The following is a 23,323-nucleotide window of genomic DNA, read 5'->3' on the forward strand; positions in this document are numbered from 1 at the left end:
CACATACCCGATTCCTCTTTTCTACACCATCTTTATCCAGAGCACACCTGTGTCCCCTGCCTCACTCCTCTCATCAGCCCCTTGGCCCTCTAGACCTTCATCCACATCATCTTACCTCTCCTGAGCCACTTTCCCTTCTCTCTTCCATTCCCAACTCTCATTTCACCTGACTTTGTTTTGCTCCTTTGTATTCTGCTACCCATATCTCGTGGCCACGCCTCATCTGATTTTTCTGGTGCCTCAGGTCCCTACCCTTATCTCTTGTGTCCCAAGTTAGCCACAACGTCCCAGAGCTGGCCTCACTCTGGTTTAATAAGCGCCTCACACCCACCTCCCTGGATCCTTCATAGGCTGTTCAGAGAGCCTGACCCCATTACTGCCGCCTCCACACAGGCACGTTATCAGGACTGCCAGTCGGGATTCTTCTGCCAGATTTCTGTTTGGGTATCAGTATCATCTGAGGCAATTAATGTGAATTAGTATCAAAAGGGAACATCAGAATCACATTTATAAAGCACGTACCTTTTTATGTTCACATTTCTTTATTGCCATAATTAAAATACTGGAATGGGAACAGGTTGCAGTTAGATTGAAACAAACCAGTTCCCAGCTTGGCCAGTTCATACACAGCTGGGCAGAGCGCACTGTGATTCAGGCCAGACCCAGGCAGGGCTGGTCTCATGTCATCTTACGACCAGTCCCTGCTGAAAAGCAGCCCAGTCCATCTACCCTTTGCCCTACTCCTTGGCCATGAAAGCCATCGGAGGCCCAGAGATAGAAGTGCCTCCAGCTGGTGGAGCCCTGAGACACCAGCAGCCGCACACTGAGCCACTGCTTAGGGCCTGGAGTACCTAGAGCATGGAGAGCCCCCTGGGGCTCTGGAGTGCAGTGAGCAGGGAAGGGAAACCAGGATGACAGCAGGAGCAGTTGTCAGCTGCTGACATCACCTAGCACCCTCTGTGCCCTGTCACCAGAGTACAGGCCTGAGGAACTGGGTCCCTCTCTCCATGCCAAGCAGCCAAAGCAAACATCGATGTAGGAGGAGGAAGATCACAGGCTAGCCAGAGGGTGTGAGCGTCAGCATGAGGCTGCTGGGGCGGGCATCCTGTCCTCTTCTGCTTCCCTATGCCCCGGAGGGTGCTGGGCCAGGGTGGGGTAGAAAGCAGAGGAGACCCAAGCGGCCTCCTGCCCAGCCCTGCCACTCCCTGATGGCTGGCAGAGGGAGCCATCAACAAATGAAGTCCCGGGAAGAACATTTTCTCCAGCAGCATTGTAACCTATGTGCTAGGGAGTCCTGTGGATCCAAATAAGTAACTCCAGCAACTGCAGGGAGTAAGAAGGGGCCCAGGGTGGGGGGTGTGTGGCAGGGGGTGCGGGTCTCCGGGTCCCTACCCCTTCAACCAGAAAGAGACTGCTTGCTGCTAACAGTGGAGCTCTTTTTGTTGGAAAAAAGTCTGGAAGATTTAAAAAAAAGAAAAGTTTTCAAAACCACTGTGCCGACCCTGGTTTACCCTGCTCCACCACTCCTCTGCCAGGAGACCTTGGGTAAATTCCTTAACTCAAGGAGCCACCTTGCCTATATGTAAAACAGGGAAGAAAACACCAACCTGAGAGTGGGGGGTTCCTGCAAGATTGAATGGGACAACCACATAAGGCACTAGGCACTGGCCTGGTACAGAATAAGTGCTAAAAAAAAAAAAAAAAAAAAAAAAAAAGGCAATTTCCAGCCGGGCGCAGTGGCTCACGCCTGTAATCCCAGCACTTTGGGAGGCCGAGGCGGGTGGATCGTGAGGTCAGGAGATCGAGATCATCCTGGCTAACACGGTGAAACCCCATATCTACTAAAAATACAAAAAAATTAGCCGGGCGTGTGGTGGGCACCTGTAGTCCCAGCTACTCTGGAGGCTGAGGCAGGAGAATGGCATGAACGTGGGAGGCAGAGCTTGCAGTGAGCCAAGATCGGGCCACTGCACTCCAGCCTGGGCGACAGAGCGAGACTCCATCCCCCCCCAAAAAAAAAAGGCAATTTCCATCCTCTTCATCCAAGCAAAGGACCTATCCAAGAACCAAGGTAGAAATCCAGTGGGAAAGCCTAGAAGCCCATCACAGGATGGGCCACGGGTGCCTGTGGACTGCAGGTGGCAGGGGTGGAGGGTGGAGGGTGGATGGCACAACTGATTCCAGACCCTCAGTTGGTGACCTTGGTGTGTGCTGGTCAGGAGCCAGCTGGACCTCATCTTCAGTTGCCATGGCCCTGGCACTTCAATCCAAAAAGGCTGAGGAAGGCCACAGCAAACATGGCATCTAAGAGTAACTCATTAGAAAATAACAGAAAATGAGGTCACTGTCTCATTTGTTTATTCAGACAGGAGCTCAGCCTCCCCACTCCATTCCTCAGCACACTGGCAGATATGAAAATAAGAGTTGCTATGAGATACAAACATCTAGGACATGCATTTTATTCATTCAGTACACATTTTTTGAGGGCTTCTTGTACAGCAAGCTCTGTGTCAGTCACTGAGGATTCCAAGATGAACGTGATAGTGTTCCTACTCTCAAGGAGTTAATCATTGGGAACCTGGACCAGATACAAATAATTACTGCTCAACTCATTGTATGCAGTGCTGTGGGCTCATCCTGGAAATGGGGTTCAGTGATGCCTTCAGGACTTGTGGAAGGTTTCTGGGGCAAGGGGCATTTGAGCTGAGCCTTGAAGGGTGAGTAGAGGTTGATCGTGGAACAAGTCAGGGAAGAGACTTCCAGGCTGTGGGAACAACCTGAGAAAAAGCAGAGAAGAGTGAGGCCTGTGAGGTGCTTGGAGACCCAAGAGTCCACGAGAAGAGAGTCCAAGTGGAGAAGAACCCACTGAAATGGTTGGTGGCTGAGGGTCATGTTGGAAAGGGCGTCCATGCCATGCCAAAAAGTACAGTTTGTCCTGTAAACAGGCTCCACCCAAGGTTTCTTAAGTAGGGGTGTCTTTGTTTTGAAAAGACAAAACACTCCATTGGCAAGGTGGGAAGACTGGTGGGGAAAGAGGCAGGTGGCAGAAAAACCCATTAGGAAATGACTGTCATGTTAAGGGTAGATGAGAAGTACTTGGAAAGGGGAAAGTTGTGGTGTCAAAAGGCATTTCAGAGTAGAAATGACAAATAGAAATGTCAGGTTAGACATGGGAGGAAGGTTGAAAGAACGGAGAAGGATTCCAGGATGGCTCATTTGTGCAGTTAGGCAGATGGTGAGCCCACTGACTGTGGGTTCCAGAAAGATGTCACTGATGCAAGGATTCCAAGTCCATGGAATAAATCTGTTGCCTGCTTTTTCCAGGCTGTGAGGTACTGCCATATTCTAAAGGCATCGACTCAGGCCATGCCATTAGGGGGTGCTGTAGGCATTCCCTTCTCTTCTCTGCTCAATACGGAGGTCGGAAAGACCTGCCAGGGTCATCAGTCAGTTCCAAAGGCCAAAGGCAGTCCTGGACAGCTTGGCAGAGCCCCTTTGCTTAGAAAGCTTTTTACATAAACAGTTTCACATCCCCCAAGACTTGGCACGTTGGTGGACCCCAGGTCAGATTTCCTCTGCAGCTGTGTAGACCTGGGTGGGGGTCTGGAGGATTGGAGGGGATTTTGGAAGTCAAACTGACAAGGGAGAGATCAGGAAGAGAAGGCTCGGCAAACCCATTGCATTCACATTTTTAATCCACAAAGCCATCCAAAGCAAAAACGGTCGACCTCAATGTGACCTCGGGACCCCTCGGAACACAGGCCACCCCAGAAAACATTTTGCAGGTAGCCCAACTTATACTTATTGGGAGTGTCCTTGGCCATCATACTATGTGAGATATTGGAATGGAGGTGACATAAATGTGAGGGGGGACAGCAGAGCCTGGAAAGCAGTAGTCACGGAGGAGCAGGGCTCTCTGGATGGAGGCACGACAGGGTTCAGACACCAGCTCTACCACTGAGATACGGCCTCAGTTTCCTCACAAGGTTGGTGTAAGGATGAACTGAGGGACTGTATGCATGCTGTTTGATACATTTGCAGTGATCCAATCAACCCTTGCAATTGTGGTTACTCTTATTATCGTTATCATCAAGCTCTTCCTGCCTTAGGTTCTGCTTGCCGCCTCCTGGCTCTGGGCCTGGAACACTCTTCTCCTCTGTCTCCCCTGGGGTTGCACACTGTCACACTGGGTTGGGCAGGGGCCCAACCATGCTTCAGCCTCTCATGGCAGCTCTGCAGTGGAGCCAAGCGGGACCTCCCATGCCTGGCACAGTGACCAGTATAAGCTTTCAGGAACTGGTTCTTAGATTACTTTTCTTACATGAATACGTGAATGAATGAATGAATGAATGAACAGAACAAGAGAGTCAGGCTGCACTGAGTGGTGGGCCTCAATCATACTCCAAAAAGGATCAAGCCCTGGAGACCCATTTAGGTAAGGGAGCATCATGAAGATGTCAGAGGTTGGCAGGGGGGTCAGGAACAGGCATTCACACCAACAGGTACCAGGAGCCAGAAATCCCAATCACAGTGACAGGGCTGTAGAGGGTGGAGGGGGTGGGGAGAAGCCAGGGCAGGGCTCCACTTGCCGGGGGGCCTTTACAGCAGAACAAGGGAGAACACTGAGAGCTGGTGACAAACCAGCAGGAAGGATGAACATCAGAATCAACTCAGACACAAAATCAATAGGACTCAGTGACAGAATGGATGGAGATGACCAAAAAGAGGAAGCAGCTAAAGATGCAAACTGTGAGAGAACTCGAATTGTGCTTTCAGTTTCTAGTGCTTATTCTGATGATTGTTATTGAGTTATTTAATGAGGATCAGGAGAAGTGAAGCTTAGCGAGGCCTACTGAAGGGAGAAATGGAGAGAGACCTCAAGCAAGCAAGCTTCCCCCTGTGGCTCTAAGACCTTCCCTTCTGTTCTGGTCTCTTTCACCTGTCCCTTATCCCTTGGTCTGTAACTTCCTTATTAGTAAGAATCTCATCTTATTCGGTTTGGTATCCACTGCATTAGTTATACATTTTCTCATCCATTTCACAAATATTTAATGAGCACCTCTAACATGCAAGGCAGGGTCCAAGGTCCATAACCCAATAAATATGTATTGAATTGATCATGTCATGATATAAAGTCTGCAAGGAGAAGGTCCATGGGAGGATCTAGCAGAGTTTTACCAGGCAGCATCTGGAAAGGAAATGCGGGAAACCTATCACTGTTATGAGACAATTTGGAACTGTAATGTTCCCCACCCTCCCTCCCAAACTGGGGAGACCGAAGAATGACAAGTCCAGCTTGGTGAGTAGATGAGTTTATTTAGGTCTTCCATGTGGGGCACTCCTGGGCAGCAGCAGGACAGCTCTAGAGACCTGCTTTGCCTCACATCGCTAAGCTGCTTTTAAGCTAATTTTCTGGCTCTTCACCTACTGTGTATGTGCCATGGGACTGTTTTCCTTAGTAGGTTTTCAGATATCTTCTAGGATGTTTGGATTCTCAGGGACACCTGCTCCACAGCTGGGCACCATGGCCTTGACTAACTGCCTGGCCTTGAGGGTTCAGACAGTGAACATACACCCTTAAGTAACCTGGTGGGGGACCCATCACACTACAATCAGCAAGGCCTGGGTTGGTTCAAAGGGTAAAGCATTCGATGGAGAAAACATCTGATTCAGAAACACAAGTACAAATCCTAGCATGAAGAATGAGGGGTTGACAATGAGGACTGGGCATTTCATCCGAGACAGAGAGATTTCATTACTATAAAGGAATACCTGAGGCTGGGTAATTTATAAAGAAGAGAGGTTTATTTGGCTCACAGTTCTGAGGGCTGTACAGGAAGCATGGCACCAGCATTGCTTCTGGTCAAGACCTCAGGAAGCTTTCACTCATGATGGAAGGCAAAAGAGGAGCAGGCGTGTCACATGGCGAAAGAGAGAGTAGGAGAGGAGAAGGGGCCGGTCTCGCTCTGTCGCCCAGGCTGGAGTGCAGTGGCACGATCTCGGCTCACTGCAAGCTCCGCCTCCTGGGTTCATGCCATTCTCCTGCCTCAGCCTCCCAAGTAGCTGGGAGTACAGGCACCCGCCACCACGCCCGGCTAACTGTTTGTATTTTTAGCGTAGACGGGGTTTCACCATGTTAGCCAGGATGGTCTTGATCTCCTGACCTCATGATCCACCTGCCTCGGCCTCCCAAAGTGCTGGGATTACAGGTGTGAGCCACCGTGCCCAGCCGAGGCCAGGTTCTTTTAAAACAACTAGTTCTTGCAGGAACGAATAGAACAAGCACTCATTACTGCGAGGATGGCACCAAGCCCTTCATGAGGAATCTGCTCCCATGACCCAAATACCTCCCTCTAGGCCCCACCTCCAACACTGGGGATCAGTTTTCAACAGGAGATTTCGAGGAGACAAACATCCAAACTATATTGTAAGGAATACTGAAATTAAGTAATATACTGGAAGTCTAAAGGTGTAGATCTGTGCTTTAGATGAAGCATTTCTGGAGGAAAAGAATCATTGCGGTGTCTCTAGCCCGACCCCTGCTCCCTTCTGGGTTCCACAGGTACCTCCCCACAGCAGAGGACCGTTTGTCACAGCTCAGGGAGAACAGTGCTTAAGACCATCCTGTTCTCTGGGCTCTGACTCCGTAGCCACCACTCGTGAGATAATGTCCCAAGTAGAAGCACAGTTTGTTCCTGGCACAGGTCCATTTTATGTAGATTTGGCCTGCAACTGCCTTTTCTGGTATACAGACCCTCAGGTGCTTTGCAACTGAAAGTGTGGTCTGGCCTGCAGACCAGCAGCAGCATCTCTTGGAAGCCCAGTGCAGGATTTCAGGGCCCATTCCAGACCTATGAGTCAGAGGGGCATCTAACAAGGTGGTCAGGTGATGTATTTGTATGGTCATACACGAGGAACTGCTGTAGACAAGCTGACTACTGTGGCTGTGGGCTCTAAGAGCAAAGTGGCCAGTCTCTTTGGGCCCTTGGGGATGGGGCTCCTCCTTGGGGTACTTGTGCTGGGTGTGAAATGGAAGGCAGAGATTTGAGGTGTGGGAAAAGAGGAAAGAGACTGTTTGGTCCCAGGGTGCAGAGCCTGCACCACCTGGCCCCCAGCAAGCTTCGTCCTCACTCCTGTCGACTCCCCTCCTTTCACTCTGCATTCCAGTGATGCAGGACTGTTGCAGGTCTCCCCCACCCCCATCAGCTGTGTCACATTCTGTGCCTTTGCTTCTGCTGTTCTAGTTGTCTGGGACACCCTTTACCCTCTCCTTGGTGACTCCTTCAAGCCTCAGCCCAGGGGTCAATTCCTAGGAATCCACCCTAGTCATTCAGGCAGAAGGAAGCATCTTTCCTCTAGGCCCACTCCTCCATCACAGCAAGGTGGCCACCATGTTAAACTGTACCCACACCCCGCACTAAACTGTAAACTCCTCAAGAGCAGAAGCTAAGATTTACACTCTCTATACTCTAGGATTAACATAGTATCTCCATAATATTGGATGACTACATTATAGGTACTCAATAAACATTTATTAGATGAATGGTTGGTTGGATGGATGGATGGATGGATGGATGGATATTTGTCAAACACAAATAAGAGAAGTGAGCTTCCAATGGATGCAGCAGATGTTAATTATCCATTTACTTTTCTGTTTTACTCACTAAATAGCATGCTGCTAAGGGCAGACCATATCCTATTTCTGTTTGCACTTTATGGACTTACCAGATAGCCTATAAATGTGGGTTCAGCAAATGAATGAAAAATGAATGAAGTATAGCACAGTGCTTACGAACTCTGGAGCCAGACTGTTGGGGTTGGAATCCTGACTCTACCACTTGCTAGCTGTGTAACTGAGCAAGTCATATACCTCTCTGTGCCTCACTTTTCTCTTCTGTAAAATTGTGATTATAATAACAATTTATAATTGTTTTTGTGATTATAATAGCCATATAATTATATATATATAATATAATAGCCATATAATAGCCAATAATTGTGATATAATAATAGCCATAGGGTTATTATGATGCATTTAAACTCATATAAAAAGTGCATGGAAAAGCATTGTTGTTGCTGTTGACGTTGCAACAAGCATGGGTGGATGTGAATGGTGCTGAGTCTACCCGAAAGTAAGTTAGCTGGTTCCTTAAGAGGCTGAGCAATAGGCTGGAATAAAGGCTCAGGCCCCAATAGAGGATCCAGAGTTCTGGATCCAGACCTAACCCTGCCCATTCCCCATACACTCAGCCCAGGAGGGTATGCCTTGTGCCCACTGACCACTCATCCATCCACCCTCCCTCTCTCTTCCCCCTTTTCTGCAGGAAAATGTCTCTCTGATCAAGGAAATTAATGAGCTCCGCAGGGAGCTGAAGTTCACTCGGTCCCAAGTCTATGACCTTGAAGCAGCTCTGAAACTGACCAAGAAAGTCCGACCACAAGAAGTTTCAGAGACAGGTAATATCACCAGTGGCCAGGGGAGATGGGCACTGGGACGAAGGGATTGATGGCAGCTGCAGGCAGGTCTCCCTTTGGCTTCCTTCTGTATCAGGTCCCATCTACACATGGCCTTCTGGGATCCTGTCCGGGGCACACACCTGCTCTTTGAGGAATCCATGAGGGCCTTCCCACACTCCGACACACACAGGTCCACAGTCCCCTGGCTGACATCCTTGAGGTTAGCTACCGTTCAGAATGCAGACTCTTTTAGATTTTAGAAAGCGAATACTTTATATAACATTCCCAGAGGGGTCTGGGGCAGTGCCCTAAAATCAAACACTTTAGTATTTCTGTAGTGACATATGAATATTCACACTAAGCTTCCTGAATTTAAAAAAGCACTCTGTTTTTAGATCTTCTTGCATTTTAGAATAGTGAATAAGGGATTGTGAACCTGTACAATTAAAATGAAGACAAAAAGCAAGATGAGGAGCTATTTAAAGGAAGAGGGGAAATAATTACATAAATATTAAATGAGTCAGTTACTGCAATTATATCCTAAAGTTCCTCTGAATTTCTGACGGCCAAGGCAAAAAGAGAAACAAAGAAATATGATCGTTTATATCATGCTCATTGTATGGCAAAAGGGAGCTTTTTTTCTGGAGAAACAAACGTTTCCCTGGCAATAAATTCTCTGAGAAACTTACCACATGGATCCTTACAAAAGGAATGTGGAGTAACAATGAACAGCCTTTAATTACATATGCCGCTTTCAGGCCCCAAAGAAGCATTTTTCAAGTATCCACTCCTTATCTGGACAATCGATAAAAACCAAGAGATTAAGGCATCTCTATGGCAAATTAAGCCAACATGGTTCAAGTTTTTGTTTTCTGGTGGTTTACATTAAGGAATAAAGATTAGAGGCTTGAACTGAAACATCCCATAGCTATGGATTGGGTCTCTGAAGTGTCAGTTGTCTCTTGTCCCATGGTCACATAAGCTTATGATGGGGAAAAGTGGCTGAAAGGTACACAGGAACCTTGTACTATTTTTGCAACTTATTGTTAGTCTTCAACTATATAACTATATACATTTAATTACAAAATTAAATACATATATAAGATTTTATGTATATGTATATAATTTTGTTGTCTTGTGCACTTTTGGCTAGGGTTGAAGTTGAAACAAGAGTAAACCCTGAGTAGTACCTGAAGTGGCAATACCAGGCCTACAGGGTTGATGTGAGAGCATAGCGTGTGTCATAAAGACTGAGATACTTGGGGCCAGGTGCGGTGGCTCACATCTGTAATCCCAGCACTTTGGGAGGCCGAGGCAGGCAGATCACAAGGTCAAGAGATCGAGACCATCCTGGCCAACACTGTGAAACCCCGTCTCTACTAAAAATACAAAAATTAGCTGGGCGTGGTGGCGCGGGCCTGTAGTCCCAGCTACTCGGGAGGCTGAGGCAGGAGAATCACTTGAACCTGGGAGGCAGAGGTTGCAGTGAGCTCAGATTGCACTACCGCACTCCAGCCTGGACAACAGAGTGAGACTCCATCTCAAAAAACAAAAAACAAAAAAACAAAAAAACCTGACATGCTTGACTTCTCAGAGGTGAAACCATCTTCTCTTGAAAATAAAGCACAGATGTGAACAATTGCAAAACTTCTCTTAAAAAATGTTTCAGGCCAGGCGCCGTGGCTCACATCTGTAATCCCAGCACTTTGGGAGGCCAAGGCGAGCGGAACGCTTGTGCCCAGGGTTCAAGACTAGCCTGGGCAACATGGCGAAACCACATCTCTACAAAAAATACAAAAATCAGCCGGGCATGATGGCATATGCCTGTAGTCCCAGCTATTCGGGAGGTTGAGGTGTGAGGATTTTAGAGTAAAATTGATCACCTGAACCTCAGAGGTTCAAGGCTGCTGTGAGCCATGATCACGCCACTACACTCCAGTCTAGGTGACAGAGCAAGACCCTGTCTCAAAAAAAAAAAAAAAGTTTTAAATATGTCCAAGTATCCTAACAAATATTCATTTGAGACCTCCTCAGGATGCCATGTGATATAGCCAGGGTCTTCATATTACTATCTTGGAGATTTCCAGACATATACAAAAATTGAGAGAGAAGTCTAATCAATTCCTGGGACCCCAGTCCCCTACTTCCAACAAATATCAACTCCTGTCACTTGTGATTCATCAACATACCCCCACCCCGACCCAGAAGCCAGAGTGGTGAACCTAGAAGAAATCCAATGTATGCCACAAAACCCTCAAAAGGCTCAGGAATGATCAGAAGCAGATATCTCTGGAGGTGGAAGTGAAGGTAGGGCTGAAAACAGAAAAAAATCTGTTTAAGAAGCTGTTAGATCCACCTACTATCCAACACAGTGGCTAAAAACAGACCCACATCAAGTCCATCATCTTGAAATTTCAGAACACCAGAGTATGAGGAAAGAACTCCTCCAGACTTCCAAAGGAGTTAAGGAAAATTTTTATACAAAGGATCAAAAATCACAATTACAGGATACAAAATCAATGCACACAAAAATGTTGCAATTTTTATATACTAACAATGTACTATCCAAAACGGAAATTAAGAAAACAATTGCATTTACAATTGCATCAAAAAGAATAAAATACTTGGGAATAAATTTAACTGAAGAAGCAAAAGACTGAACACTACAAAACATTGCTGAAAGAAATTAAATACCAGTAAGTGGTGGATTGGAAGACTTGTCGTTAAGATGTCAGTACTACCCAAAGTGATCTGCAGATTCACTGCAATCCCTATAAAAACCTCAATGACATTTTTGCAGAAACAGAAAAATCCATTCCAAAATTCATATGGAATATCAAGGTACCCTGAATAGCCAAAACAATCTTGAAAAAGAAGAACAAGGTTGGAGGTCTCATACTTTCTGATTTCACAACCTGCAACAAAGCTATAGCAATCAAAACAGTGTGATACTGGCGTAAAAACAGACATACAGACCAATGAAATAGAATATAGAGGCCAGATATAAACCCTCAAATAAATGGTCAAGTGATTGTCAACAAGGGTACCAAGATCATTTAGTAGGGAAAGGACAGTCTTCTCAACAAGTAGTGTTGGGAAAACTGGATATACACATACAAAAGAATTAAGGTAGACACTTACCTTACACCATATACAACAATTAACTCAAAATGAATCAAAGATCTAAACAGAAGAGCTAAAACTATAAAACTCTTAGAAGAAAGCATAGAGGAAAAGCTTCATAACATTGGATTTGGCAATTATTTATTTGGCGAATGACACAAAAAGCACAGGCAACGAAATAAAAAATAGATAAGTTGTTTGTGAGATTTGCAGCAATGTAAGCAATGCAGGCATGTATGTGAGATTTGGCTCCATACTAAATCTGGCATCATGCTTAATTGTATTAAAAACCTGAACATATTTTGTTTTCGAGTACATACATGACGGCCCATCAGTGATAAACAGCTTGAGATTAAAAATTACTAGAAAGTCTCACCTTTTTTATTACTACTTAATCCAAGTGAATGTCACTTTAAATTAGTTTGAGAGAAATTCTAATCAATATAATTTCCTTAAGGACAAGGCCAATGTTTCCTGAACATTAAAACTTTGTACCCATATCACAGTTCTTCTTCATTAAAGGAAAAGATCTAAAACCAACACAAACTATTGATTCAAGTGACTCACACTAGAAACAAACACCACTCAAACAGTTCCACTTTCATCCACCTCTCCAAACAACAATATATAATGTACTATTTCTGTTCAGAACTTATAAAAGCCTTCCACTAGAAACTAAAGAACATGGATGATTTTATACATATGCATACACAAGCAAAACACAAAAGAGAACAAACAGCAAACAAATAAAAATTAGAAGCAAAACAAACAGGAAACCAACCCCAACATTTCCCCACTCAGTCTACCCTGGAGACTACCATGTTACCCAGAGCCCAAAAAACCACATGATGAATATTTTATTCTTCATACACAATTCAATATCCTTAAGTCCACCAATATCACCATACATCCTGTGCAATCAAGAAATTCACCCTAGGTACATGACCTATTAGTAAGTACTCCAGTGCCAGCACTATTGATGCAAAACAGCAAACATAGTGTGAAGCAATACAGGCATGTATGTGAGATTTGGCTTCACACTAAATCTGGCTTCATGCTTAACTGTATTAAAAAAGAACTGCCAAACCGCCAATGCATTTGTTTAAAATATTTCTTATTTTGCCTTCATCAAGACTAAGAATTTTAACTATGAAAGTGTTAATTATCCAAATTTCTCCAATTCTTTATAAGGTTTTAAAGAATATTTTATTATCTAAACTTTCTAATTTCTCTGTATGTGCAAAGAAACAAACAAACGAAAACTACATATGACTTACACAGACCATGCGTGACATGCTTAAGCTTTCCATCCAGTCCCAGATTTTATTCTTCTTCATTTTTCTTTAAAGAACCAGTCATTTGGCCAGGTGCGGTGGCTCATGCCTGTAATCCCAACACTTTGGGAGGCCAACGTGGGTGGATCACGAGGTCAGGAGATCGAGACCATCCTGGCTAACATGGTGAAACCCTGTCTCTACTAAAAATACAAAAAATTAGCCGGGCGTGGTGGCAGGCACCTGTAGTCCCAGCTACTCGGGAGGTAGCCACTCAGCTACTGAAGCAGGAGAATGGCGTGAACCCAGGAGGCAGAGCTTGCAGTGAGCCAAGATTGCACTGCTGCACTCCAGCCTGGGTGACAGAGCAAGACTCTGTCTCAAAAAAAAAAAAAAAAAAAAAACAGTTATTTTGCTCCAGGACAAAAATTCATCATACAAAATTCTTTCTCATACAAACTTACTATCTTCTCTTTATAACCTTCCTTACCAAAAAATATATCTTCATATCCATAACTTTCTTCACATCTCTCTCCCCTACATTGTTTCATAAAAAAATTTTCTTTTTTTTTTTTTTTTGAGACAGAGTCTCGCTCTGTCGCCCAGGCTGGAGTGCAGTGGCGCAATCTCGGCTCACTGCAAGCCCTGCCTCCCGGGTTGACACCATTCTCCTGCCTCAGCCTCCCTCGTAGCTGGGACTACAGGCACGTGCCACCAGACCTGGCTAATTTTTTTTTGTATTTTTAGTAGAGATGGGGTTTCACCATGTTATCCAGGATGGTCTTGATCTCCTGACTTCGTAATCTGCCTGCCTCAGCCTCCCAAAGTGCTGGGATTACAGACATGAGCCACAGTACCCGGCCATAAAAAAATTTTCATGTCCATAATTTGAATTAACTTTTAATAACTTCTAAATTAGACAAAATTATTTTTTTCTCACTAATAACATCTTTTGGCCCATTTCATATACAGAATTATATATTAACTATAATTATTATCCTTAATAACCTTAAATTTTAGTGAAACCCTAAAAAGCAAGAAATCCTGAACTATCAGATATGAGCATTTTATACATGAGAACAATTCCACAACTTTTAGAAACATATTTCTCCATATCATAACCTTTTTTTAATTTTATTTTTTGAGATGGAGTCTCACTCTGTCACCCAGGCTGGAGTGCAGTGGCGTGATCTCGGCTCAGTGCAAGCTCCGCCTCCCGGGTTCATGCCATTCTCCTGCCTCAGCCTCCCGAGCAGCTGGGACTACAGGCACCCACCACCACTCCCAGCTAATTTTTTTTTTTTTTTTTTTGTATTTTTAGTAGAGACGAGGTTTCACCATGTTAGCCAGGATGGTCTCGATCTCCTGACCTTGTGATCCACCCACCTCGGCCTCAGCCTCCCAAAGTGCTGGGATTATAGGCGTGAGCTGCCGTGTCCAGCCCATAACCCTTTCTTAATTGGAAATGACCCAGATACCCACATAGCCAATGAGCATCAAAAATAATTTTAAGATTTTAAGTTACACAAAAAGTTTACCTAAAACATTTATCCCATTGACATGTATTTGGTTTCTTCATTTTTAACAGTTTATCTAGATTACTTCTGAAAACTGAGATATTAGACACAATTATACAAAGTTAGTTATTTCCTTCTTAACCATTTCTTTTTTTTTTTTTTTTTTTTTTTTTTGAGATGGAGTCTTGCTGTGTCACCCAGGCTGGAGTGCAGTGGCGCGATCTCGGCTCACTGCAACCTCTGCCTCCCGGGTTCAAGCAATTCTCCTGCCTCAGCCTCCCGAGTAGCTGGGACTACAGGCACACGCCACCACACCCAGCTAACTTTTTTTTTTTTTTTTTTTTTTTTTTAGTAGAAATGGGGTTTCACCGTGTTTGCCCAGACTGGTCTCGAACTCCTGAGCTCAGCCAATCCGCCCACCTCGGCCTCCCAAAGTGTGGGGATTACAGGTGTGAGCCACTGCGCCTGGCCCAACCATTTTCTTAATAGCCAGTGAACATCAGGTGCTCACCTAAATAAGAGGCTCAAAGTTAAATACATAGATATTTTTGCCAATAACTCAGAAGATTCACCTAACAACATTAAATTAGTCTCATCTGTCAAAGAAGGCATACCAAAATCATTTTGTTTTGGCTAGATTAACAGCTTTATAACCTTCTATGCCAAACACTGAAACCTCAAAATATCTAGCAGAGACATATATAAAACCCAAACAAAAATGTATGCTGACAATTTCATTCTACCAATAATTTTAAAGCCGGTTTGTTTAGTAAAGATTTACATAAGTCACGTGAACTTGAAAATTGCTTGGACTTTTTCACCTAACGTATGAGTGCTCTTTTACTTATAAGCCAGTTTGGTAGACACAACATGTAACAATAAGTGTACATACAAATAGACACATACAAGTAGACACACACACAAACGAAAATCCAATAATTTTACCTTAGAACTCTAGCCATGAAATGCCAATACAAGCGTACTGGTTTTACATGGTTATACGTTGTTTGCCCCAATAGTTAATCCAGTGAAGAATGTGAACCAAAATTTTGGGTAAAGCAGTGTCCATGGCAGTTTGATTTTTAAAGGCCAAACTTCCCCGGACTCCAAAGAACACTGGGGCTAAACAGCACCGAAGGAAAACATCACATATTAACCAGGCCCAACTCTGCTTAGAACAGCAGCACAAAAGCCTGGATCCATGCAACTCCATCCCACTTTTCCATTCAGCAGCAAAGTCCAGATTCCAAACAAGATTGGGGCCAAATAGTATTGCAAAAGAATATCAAGTTGGCTAAATTCTGATTTCCCATGACTATATCAAACACACACAATCACCAAAACACTATCCAACTGCTGCAGCAACAAACAAGCCCCTAGTGTCCAAACTGAAACAGCCAGAGTGCACCCTTTCTCTACTGGTTGGGCTTGATCGACCTGCAAATGGAAATTCCATAAAGAATTTCCCAAATTGAGAGGAGCTGATCCCACTGTCTGGTACCCAAAAGAGACACTCACTTGCCGGGACACAACACACAATTACAAACAAGTCCTCAAGAGTGTCCATACTGAAACAGTCAGGGTGCTTCCCTCTCAGTCAGTTGGTCTTGTTCCACCTACAAATGGAAATTCCTTTAAAATTTTCCCAAATTGAGAGGAGCAGATGCTGCTCACCTATCTGTGTACAGATGTCAAATTTCAAAGGCAGTTCTTCCAAGGCAATCAGGAACAAAGTTGGGGCTGGCTGTGGCAGGGCCAGAGAGAGACGGAAATTCACCTCCAGCCAAAATTAGGTGGGCAGCTGCTTAGGAGGGCTTCTGAGACTCCCAGACCACAGCAACCGAGCTGCCATGAGCAAGACATTCCCGGTCAAGGAAACAAAATATATTGCTGAAACACCAGGAGTTTGGTCAAGGTCCTGGTGCTTGCAGCATAGAAAGCCAATCACTGGGAGGACAAGTATTACCAAGGAAGAAGGCTTTAATCAGGTGCTGCAGCCAAGGAGATGGGAGCTCAGTCTCAAATCCATATCTCTGACTGACTAAAACGGGGAGGGTTTATATACCAGGGAAGAAATATTACATGGGTAAGAAAACAAGAACTAGGGAGGGGCCAAGGGCCACCCGGTGCAGTGATCTGGTGAGTTTCAGTTCTTTGACATTTCCTTTTTAAGGAGCCTGAAGGTCCTTTCCTGAAGAACGAACTCAGATAAAACAAATACAGGTTTCAGGCTTTAAGAGAAGAAGGGTAAATTTCTATGTTTATTCAAAAACAACTGTCTATGGAACTATTGAGACAGTTTCATTAGCAATATGGACATATAAAATTTCACAAATGAAAAAACAAAGCAATTATTAACTTTAGGAAACACAAATTATTGTATGGAAAAGAGAAATGAATCATTGTATACTACATGGCTCAACTGTGACCAGCAATTATATAAATCATAATTAAATTCTGACTATTGATCTACTCAAAATTAGGAGGATGAAAGGACGGGAATTTGCAGGGGCAGGGGAAGGTGCTGAAGGAAAGCTAAATCCTCGTCTTTCATAGAGAGAAGTCAATAGAGAATGCCTAAAAATGATAAGTCAAAGAGGCAACGTAAGTACATTAATCAAAGCAGAGTATGGAAGTAGATATAAAGGAATTAGCTAAACTAATTGAAATTGTTGCCTCTGAGGATTGAGAAATTGAATGGAATGTAGAATAAGAGATACTGTTCTTTGTAATAAGCCTTATAGAGTTATTTGACTATGAGCATATATAATTTTCATAAATAAATTAATAAAATATTAGGAAAACTTTGCTTTCCTTCCAGTTTACTATTGCAGGCACATTTTTATTTTTCTCCCCTTATGCATATGGGAAAACTGACAAGGATATCTGTTTTAAAAACAAAGAAAAGAAAAGAAAGAGTCAAAGCAAAATAGAACGAATTAAGAAACTAAAGGTTGACTAGAGGAGAAAACTTATCTTGCATAAGAAGATGGGTGAGAAACTGTTTGTGTCAATCTTGGCTCTGGATGAAGGAAAGAAAAAACTTCAGACAAGGTCTCTGCATGACAATTTCTAACCAAAAGTCCCTACTCAGACAAGTTTTAGTCTAGAATTTGCATTCAATTTGTGGCTTAAGGCGATCTTGGCTGAAAATTTACCTTAAAAGGACCCCACAGTAGTAGTGTCCCTAGGCCCCAAGCAGAAGCAAATGCAAATTTTCTCTGGAGGAGTACCTTTTAAATATAGGCTTCAAAGAATTCCCATAAATAGTGTTCTGAGGAACATGAGCTCACAATCAAAAGTCATTAAATACTTGAAAAAATAAACCACCAGAAGTGAAAATCAACAACAACAAAAAAATCAAACTACAGAATAAAACCAACAAAGACTCATAGCTAGTATGATTATTAAAATAAGAAAATTTCATGTCTGAAAAAATAAAAAAGGAATTTGAAAATAAGACAAAAAAGCAAAAGTCTTCCAAAATTGCATAGGCAGATTTGAAAAGGAACCAAATAATACTTCTAGAAATGAAAACTATTATAATTAGAAGCTCAATGGACAGATTGAACAGTAGATTAGACACATCTGAAGGGGGAATTTGTGAGCTAAAAGAATAAATTGCCCAGATTGCAGCCCAGAGAGATAAAGATATAGTAAAAGACAAAGAGGAGGGAGTGGGATAATGCAATGTATGTCTAATTGAAGTTTGAGAAAGAAAGAATGAGGAGAGGCAACATTACAATAAGGTACAGCCAAGAGTTTTTCCAGAATTGATGAAAGATGCCAATCATCAAATCCAGGAAGCCCAGTGGATCCCAAGCAGGGCGCATGGGACAGGAGGACAGGGCAACTAGAACACTGAGGGTGCTGTTGGGAAGATGGAGGAAGAAACTCACTGGGGTCTAGCTGGCCAGAAAAGGGAGTAAATCTAAAAGGAGCCAATTTGGTAGGCAAGAAATTGAGTTGTCCAGGAAGAGAGGGTTCTCAGTTCAGTCCAAGATCATGTGTGTCATGCACAGAGCAGTTACAGCAGTTGTGGTCAGAGAACAGTGCTAGAGTGAAAGACCTAAAGCATGGCATCAGGGGAAGCCACAGGAGTGGGTGCTGGCATGGCGTGGAGGCCAAGGTCACTAATGCTGCAAGTTCAGCCTTGCGGGGCAGGGGTGAGCCGTGGACCCTGGTGGACACTGCCATTGCCCAGGATGATGCCAGCACCTGAGACAGGGAGGATGACTCAGGGGAGAAAGTTCTCAAGGAACAAGGTATGAGTGGACACACCTGGAGAGGCACGAAGGGGTCTGTCTCCAGGAGCAGGGGTTTTGCACAAGGAGAAAGACTGGCAGTTCAGAAGCCAACATAGGTCAGGAGAAGAGTGCCATCCTGCTAGGATGTGGAGAATGGGAGAAGGGGCAGCCTCCATGGGTGGGGGCCTCTGTGCAGGCGGATCTGGGGGCTCAGGAGAGGGGCTGGGCTGGGGTGGTTCTCAGTATTCACCTCATCACTCTGAAGTATGCTGCTTCACTTCTCCATCTCTCTGCGAGACAGCAAAATGGCTTATCACTGTACCTCCAGCATCTGGGATTGAGTGCTCCACAGTAGGTGCCCAATAAATGTTTGAGGAAGCAGGGAGGGAGGAGGGGAGGATCGGCTCTGCAGCAGTGCAATGGACAGGCCCACATGAGTCCTGTTGTCTCTTACAGAACCCAGCAGGGACATGCTCAGCACAGCTCCCACCGCAAGGTTGAATGAGCAAGAAGAAACTGGGAGGATCATTGAAATGCAGCGCCTAGAAATCCAGCGCCTCAGAGACCAGATCCAAGAGCAAGAGCAGGTCACAGGGTTCCACACCCTCGCTGGAGTTCGGCTTCCTTCCCTCTCCAACTCCGAGGTAGACTTAGAGGTGAAGACCAACTGACCCCCTCTGGTGAGCCATCTCCAGCCACAGCCAGAAGAAACACAGCATGTCTGTCCCCAAGCCAGACTTGCGGTTGGAGTCTGTATGGTCCCTGCAGCACTGACCCCAGCAACCTCTTTCTCTTGCCCTGGGGAATTTGGGACACAGAATAAAGGTGTTTGCCCACACCTTGTCTAACTTCTGCTTAGCTGGGGGGCCAAGGCCAGAAGAGGGAAAGAGAGGAGGCTGAGGACTGGGGGCTCCAGCTCATCTGAAGCCACCTCTGCTTGTCCCTTTCTGGGCACAGGACTGCCTGGCACTGAGAGATCACACTGGACTTGGGCTCTCTCCTCTGCCAGCTCAGGCAGGACCAAAGCCTGTTCATTCCTATCTCCTTCAGGAAATGCAGCGAGGCTTTCTAAGGACTTTTTTTTTTTTTTTTTTGAGACGAGTCTCACTCTGTCGCCCAGGCTGGAGTGCAATAGCGCAATCTCGGCTCACTGCAAGCTCCACCTCCCAGGTTCACGCCATTCTCCTGCCTCAGCCTCCTGAGTAGCTGTGACTACAGGCGCCCACCACTACACTCAGCTAATTTTTTGTATTTTTAGTGGAGACGGGGTTTCACCATGTTAGCCAGGATGGTCTCCATCTCCTGACCTCGTGATCCGCTGGGATTACAGGTGTGAGCCACCGCACCCAGCCACACTCAGCTAATTTTTGTATTTTTAGTGGAGACGGGGTTTCACCATGTTGGCTAGGTTAGTCTCGAACTCCTGACTTCAAGTGATCCACCTGCCTTGGCCTCCCAAAGTGCTGGCATTACAGGCGTGAGCCACCATGCCCAGCCTCTGAGGGTTTTTTTTTTTTTTTAATCTGTGTAAAGAAGAAGGAAAAGATGACAGTAAAATAACAGACATGGGAAGTGTTGGAAAAATTCCCCAAAGTCTTACATTATCTGCTGACCCTGTTCTTGGAACTGTAAGTAGAGCCCTGCCCTCATTTCCCTTGCCTCCATGTCATTCTAGACTTGTCATCTTTGTTCTGCAGGGTCCTGCTCTGCTCCTCCATTTCTGGAGTGAGAGAGGATGCACTTCTCCCTCTGGTTATTCCTCTCAGGCGCCATCCTGGGAGACCCAGCCACACACAGGTACCAGGAGAGATAGTTCTTTATGCATTAAAGAGCAAAAGAATATAATCCAATGTCCCTCTCTTCTCCCACATGCAGAAGCCAGATGCCCCTCTAATACCCAAATAAGAAATATTTAAGCCCACAGTCCCTGCTCGTCCCTGCTGGTCACCTATGGCTGTCTTAAACCTGGCATTGTCCCATCTTTCCCTAATCACTTTACTGAAAGTCTGGGCACTGCTCATGGGTTGACTTTCACAGAGAGCTGAGGCTTGGCAGTCACATTTGGCAAGGTCTCCCAAAGGCTGGTGTAGCAGAAGGAGCATGCAGGCAAAGGCCTTGGAGCAAAGGGTTCCACAGGGTCTGCAGGAGACTCTGTCTGCTGAGCAACAACCCCGACCCAGCCTGCACCCTGTCACAGCAGCCAGCCCCTTCCCCCCTGCTGGCATGTTCTTCACATGTACTCGCCCCACTGGGAAGCCAGATCCAGAGAGCAGGGAAGGATCCAGGCACCCCCAGAGAGGTTCAGCTGCAAAGATGACAGCCCATTACATTATTATGATGGGTAGGTGGGATCTTCCAGGACCCAGATTCCTCCACTCCAAACTAGCATGCTGGCTTCACCTTTGAAGAAGAAACGGACTTGAAATGAGACTGGGGATGAGGGGCCAGCAGGGGCAGATTGTGCAGGACCGTGAAGGCACACAGAAGCTGTGGGCCACCCAGAGGCCAATGCTAAGCCGCTGGGAGTCACCGCCACTGCTCACCAAGCTCTTGCCACATTGGCGTCCTTTCAGTTCGTACAAGAGGCCGAGGTCTTTCCTGCCTTCATCTCTTTCCACATACAGTTTCCTCTGCCCCCTCTGCTCTTGCCCCCACACCTCACTTTGTGAACTTCTATTTATCCTTTAGATCTCACCTTAAAGGGCACTTCTTCAGAAAGGCAGTCCTTGACTCCCTCCTATCTAAACTGCACCCACCACATCGTTTTTCTTCTTAATCATCACGGTAACATGTCTGTCTAGTTGCTTAATATTTGTCTGTCCTGCTAGGAGAGTTCTACAGGGTAAGGGATGCAGTAGTGGACACAAGGGATGTTGTGGTTGCCCAGGTGAAACAGGACAGTGGCTTGGACCAGGATGATGGCAGTGGGGAGGAAGACACGTGAACTCTTCGGACTTAAGGACTGGTGAGGGTTAGCCAAACCAAGGTGCATGGAGCAGGGGCCTGGGAAGAAGAAAAATGCACTAGAGACTGGAGCTTTCCTGAAGACCAGAAGGAAATTCTTAATGGCTAGGACATATCAATATTCAAGTGATAGATTTTTTAACTGCAAAATGACTTAGAATCGAGATGTCACATTCCACGTACAAGATGGACCTTGGTTCTCAGACAAGGAAATCCAAACCAAAGAGGAGTAAAGTGACTGGCACGTAGTCACACAGGCAGGGGTGGGGCTGCAGGCCAGTCGGCCCAGTGACTCCAAAGGTGCTGCTCTTACGCACTGCACTGGAGAGATGCCCAAACAAAACACTGTAGGCCAAGTGAAGGTTATAGGAACTTGAAACCCTGAGAGTCTAAATCAGAAGTTAAAGGAGTGGAAACTCCCAGGCTAAGCTAACCTAAGCCTAACCTAAACCTGGATGCTGTCCAGCTGGTGAGGAGGAAGTATGGGCCAAGGGAGGGCCCCACCCTAGCAGAACCTGGCACCTTGGCCAGCAGGTCAACAAGGTCTTTTCTTGGCTGCACAGGGGTGCACACAGCTTCTTGTTAGTAAATGTAGGGCCAGAGGTTCAATCTTGCTTATGTCTCCATGTTCTGTCTTCAGTGCTTGCTCCTAATCCACCCATCGGGAGGCATTGGTTCTCTAGCATCTGAGACCTCCCTCTACTTTTGTCTATCCAGACTCCGTGGGGAAACTGAAGGCATTCACCCCATTGGTGCCCCCTTTTCCTTCACGAGTCTCTTCATCCAGTTTACTGCTTCAGCCCCGACAGTGCTGGAGTGGGCCTAGCAGTCACCTCCTCCTGTAAGCAGCCTTAGGGCCCCTGCTGGTCACTCAAGTGACTAGGCATTGGCACACAGACTCCACTCTTGCTCTCCCGGTTGCAGTCCATCATTGAGCTCTAGGTACTCATTCAATTCTGGTGTGATGACTGGTGCCTTTGGGGAGTGCTGTGCCTCTTTGGTATAATAGCCTCCAGAATTCCTCACTGGGCCCTCTCACCTTCTAGAGTTTTGGCATCAGCTGTGGCCAAGCAGTGTGGGCTACCTAGCTGAGGCTCCCCTGGTGTCCTGCTATCTCAACACTGAAAAGCCTGCCCTACAGAAGGTTCTAGCATCACTGTCCTGCTTCTTATACAAAATATGGCCAGCCATTGCTGGTCCCAGGAGGTACCTGAGGGCCTGGGAACATCTGTGTGCCCAGGCAGGACCCCCTTATAATCATTCCTCTGCATTCGGAGTGAGAAGTGAAAGGGAAGACATCTTAGGGCCAGGAACGGGGGTTCACTCTTTCTGAACTCCCATGGGGTGAGCTCTCCTAGACCACTGGGGTTCAAGGGCCTACTTAGGCTTCAAGCATGTCTAAGATGTGCCCAGACTGCCCTGAGCTGAGGTAGGCTGGGGAGCAGATTTCCAAGAAAATAAGCCTGCCCTGTGCACCTGGAAGCAGGAGGGACTAGCATGACTAATCACCTACGATGACCAGTAGAATACAAGAATTTGTATATGTTGCTCGTCTGCTATGTGTCACATGGTGGGATTTGGCAGGGGCTACAAATAGGAATTAGTGCTAGCCACCTAATGCATGTATTAATATATTAAGTGTATTATAAGTGGAACTATGAGAATGTTAGGGAAACACCCGAGGTTTGGTCCAGGTCCTGCTGCTCACCACACGGAAAGCCAATCACTGAGAAGACAAGTA

At 45.5% G+C, this 23,323-nt stretch overlaps 1 protein-coding gene and 2 long non-coding RNA genes across 19 annotated transcripts in view; 1 reads left to right on the top strand and 2 right to left on the bottom strand.

Annotated features, from left to right (window-relative positions):
* LOC105378685 (uncharacterized) overlaps nt 1-15,692 on the bottom strand; it is a 68,913-nt gene extending 53,221 nt beyond the window's left edge. The window contains exon 1 of one of the 5 annotated variants that reach the window (XR_007066041.1): nt 15,317-15,692. This is a non-coding gene — a long non-coding RNA (uncharacterized LOC105378685). The remainder of the gene's footprint in view (nt 1-15,316) is intronic. The other 4 variants (XR_007066039.1, XR_007066040.1, XR_007066038.1 and 1 more) reach the window with 4 other exon arrangements.
* Nucleotides 1-19,456, top strand: part of CFAP57 (cilia and flagella associated protein 57) — an 82,029-nt gene extending 62,573 nt beyond the window's left edge. For all 13 annotated transcript variants that reach the window (XM_011540796.2, NM_001195831.3, XM_011540793.1 and 10 more), the window contains 2 exons: nt 8,325-8,457; nt 19,075-19,456. In XM_011540796.2, coding sequence (XP_011539098.1) covers nt 8,325-8,457; nt 19,075-19,289 — 348 coding nt within the window. In that variant the 3' untranslated portion in view covers nt 19,290-19,456. The remainder of the gene's footprint in view (nt 1-8,324; nt 8,458-19,074) is intronic.
* Nucleotides 2,444-12,975, bottom strand: LOC124904164 (uncharacterized). Its single transcript, XR_007066042.1, has 2 exons — nt 12,858-12,975; nt 2,444-2,777 (listed from the first exon to the last, which is right to left on the bottom strand). It is a non-coding gene; the product is annotated as an uncharacterized LOC124904164 (long non-coding RNA).

Source organism: Homo sapiens, chromosome 1 (assembly GCF_000001405.40).
Source record: "Homo sapiens chromosome 1, GRCh38.p14 Primary Assembly".
NCBI lineage: Eukaryota > Metazoa > Chordata > Mammalia > Primates > Hominidae > Homo > Homo sapiens.